The 2,863-nt window shown below is 50.6% G+C and overlaps 1 annotated feature.

Moving 5' to 3' along the window:
• Positions 1,261-2,460: an enhancer, noted in NCBI's record as "CDK7 strongly-dependent group 2 enhancer chr3:14293769-14294968 (GRCh37/hg19 assembly coordinates)". NCBI's record gives its function as "activates an origin of replication core promoter dependent on BRD2, BRD4, P300/CBP, MED14 and CDK7 cofactors, with strong dependence on CDK7, by STARR-seq in HCT116 cells {active_cell/tissue: HCT116}" and the evidence as "EXISTENCE:reporter gene assay evidence [ECO:0000049][PMID:35650434]".

Here is a 2,863-nt window from a genome sequence, read left to right on the forward strand (position 1 = left end):
CTTCTTGCCCACTGCACAGACAAAATCCATTTACTGAGATAATGGTATTGCAGTAAAGACATTTCATTGACAGGAGATCAGTCATGCGGGAGACAGAGTTATTACTCAAATCAGTCTCCCCAAAGGCTCAGAGGTTAGGGTTTTTCAAGGATAGTTTGGTGTGGAGGGGTCTAAGGAATGGGGAATGTTGATTGGTTGGGGATGAAATCACAAGAGTATGGAAGACGGTCTTCAGGTGCTGAGTCTGCCTCTGGGTGGGGGCCACAGAACTGGATGAATCACAGGTCTGGGTGGAGTCAGCCAGTTATGAGAAATGCAAGAGTCTGAAAAGACATCCCAAAAGGTCAATCTTAGGCTCTGCAATAGTGATGTTATCTACAGGAGTAAGAGGGGACGTTCCAAATCTTGTGACCTCTGGGACAATGGCTGGTTACATTTAACTACACATACATCTTAGCAGAATTCAGGCCCCCCTCACAGCCCTAACCTTGTGGTCTTTCATTAGTTTTACAAAGGCAATTTAATTTTGGGATAGGTTATCATCATCCTTGCTATAGGTCAAACTATAAATTCCTCCCAAGGTTAGCTTGGTCCACACCATAATTGACCAAGGACAGCTTGGAGGTTAGAAGCAAGATGGAGTCAATTATGTCAGATTTCTCTTACTGTCAGAATGTTGCAAAAGGAGTTTTAGAACATGGTGAAAACAGGCCGGGCGCAGTGGCTCACGCCTGTAATCCCAGTACTTTGGGAGGCCGAGGTGGGCGGATCACGAGGTCAGGAGATCGAGACCATCCTGGCTAACATGGTGAAACCCCATCTCTACTAAAAATACAAAAAATGAGCCAGGTATGGTGGCGGGTGCCTGTAGTCCCAGCTACTCGGGAGGCTGAGGCAGGAGAATGGCGTGAACCCGGGAGGCGGAGCTTGCAGTGAGCCGAGATTGGGCCACTCCACTCCAGCCTGGGCAACAGAGCGAGACTCCATCTCAAAAAACAAAACAAAACAAAAAAAAAAACATGGTGAAAAGATTCAGACCAGTTGCTGCCTCTGGGAAGGTAGGAATTGACTGGATAGGGAGAAGAACTTTCAGAGGAGCTGGAGATGTGGCAGGTCTTGATGTGAGTGGCATTATGTGCATGTAGACATGTAGAAGCCATCAACCTGCACATTTAAGATGTATGCAGTTTACTGTATATAAATTACATCTTAATTGTTTTTTAGCTGGACTAGATCCTCTCTGAGCTTCTTCTAATTCTCTTGCCTTTAGGGTTCTGGGGTAGAGTGCAGCTACTCTGCAGCCTCACTTCTGTGGGCTCCTTTGGGGGCAGTGTGCTGTGGCCAGAGGGGCCAGGACAGGAATTCACAGACCTGGGCACTGGACACTGGCCAGGTACAGTCATGGGGAGCAGAAGCAGAATGAAAGCAGAGGAAGCCAGTCGGTGGCAAGAAGGTGAAGCAGAAAGAGAGAAGAAAGAAGAGAGGAGGAAAAGGGGAAAGAGAGAGATAAAGGAAGGCTAAGAGAGAGACGAAGAGGAGGGCAGAGAGCCCAAGAGTGACAGACGAAGGAAGAGACTGAGAGAGGTAGACACAGAGAGAGCTAGGGAAAGAGACAGAGAGAGGCCGATTGCCATGTGTGGCCCCAGCGAGGCAGCTGTTTTGCATTTTACTCAGTTTGTTTTCAGCCCTGACTTCCATATCCTATAAGGCCACCTGGGTTCCAAGCCTGTCCCTGAATCTCCACGACCCTGAGCTGTACTTGCTTCCAATGAAGACCCGATTACCTTGTGCGGACTTGAGGGAGGCCCTCTTTCTCGTGCAGCCTGAAATGTGTCCCCGGTGCTGGGTGGTCATTCCTTTCTTGTGTGTCAGCCTCACCTCAAGAACTAGGAGTGTCTGGAGGGTAGGAAGACGCTGCCACCCACTTGCATCCTCTAATCTTCCACAGCTGACCCCAGTGGGTGAAGGTCAGATAGCTGAGTTGAGCAGTTACTTCATCATCTCTACCAGGAAGCATTCAAGGGCGTTACAAGGTGCTCATACCCTTCAGATGTGCTTGGGACAATGGCCCCAGCCCCTGGGCCTCCCTGCTAGGTCCTGGTTGTGGGACTGGGGAGAAACTGGTGGGGGCAACAGAGGGGGTAGGGTGGGAGCAAGATGTCCAGGTTGGAAAACAGTGGAGGCATCTTCTGTGCTGGGCGAAGTAGGGTGGGCCCTAAATGGGAAGATTGGTCGCACAGTAGAACTGGAGGCATTAGAAGGTGGGGCTCACTCAGCCAAGAGGTGCAGGGTGAGTCAAGCAAGGCTGTGGGAAGGCCTTGGGGCCGGTATGCTGGAAAGACCTGGGCAGGCGTGGTATGTCTGTTGCACAATTTTCCAGTGGTCACTGGACTTTGGCTGAGTAGCCAGAACCCAAATCCTCCTCTGCCTGCCTTCCAGACAGCCAGAAGGCCCAGGGTCCCAGCTGAGTGGATTAACTACCAATCACCACATAAGCGGCCCAGTTTGAAATTTGAGGGATGGCACGAGGTCCAGCTTCTGCTAGGACTTCTCTCATCCACTGCCAAGAGAGTTTTGTCTGAAGGCAGCCCTAAGCGCATGCTAGGCATGCCTCAGTTTTGTGTCCGGGATGACTGGGCTTTCTGGAGTCTACAGTGTGCTTACCGACTGTGGGCTGTTTTCTGCCTGACGGCCCAGCCCTGAGATCTGGGACTTTCCATCTTTTTGTTCTCAGATGGCCTGGTCTGAGGCCTTAGATCTTTGGGAATGTCTTTGCCTGTGTCCCAAGGGTGACACTAAGGAGGTCTGAGTTCTCTTCCATTCCCTCTGGCTGGAATGCTGTGAGTGTGGCTGGAGGATGTCT

The sequence above is a fragment of the Homo sapiens genome, chromosome 3 (assembly GCF_000001405.40).
Source record: "Homo sapiens chromosome 3, GRCh38.p14 Primary Assembly".
Lineage (NCBI taxonomy): Eukaryota > Metazoa > Chordata > Mammalia > Primates > Hominidae > Homo > Homo sapiens.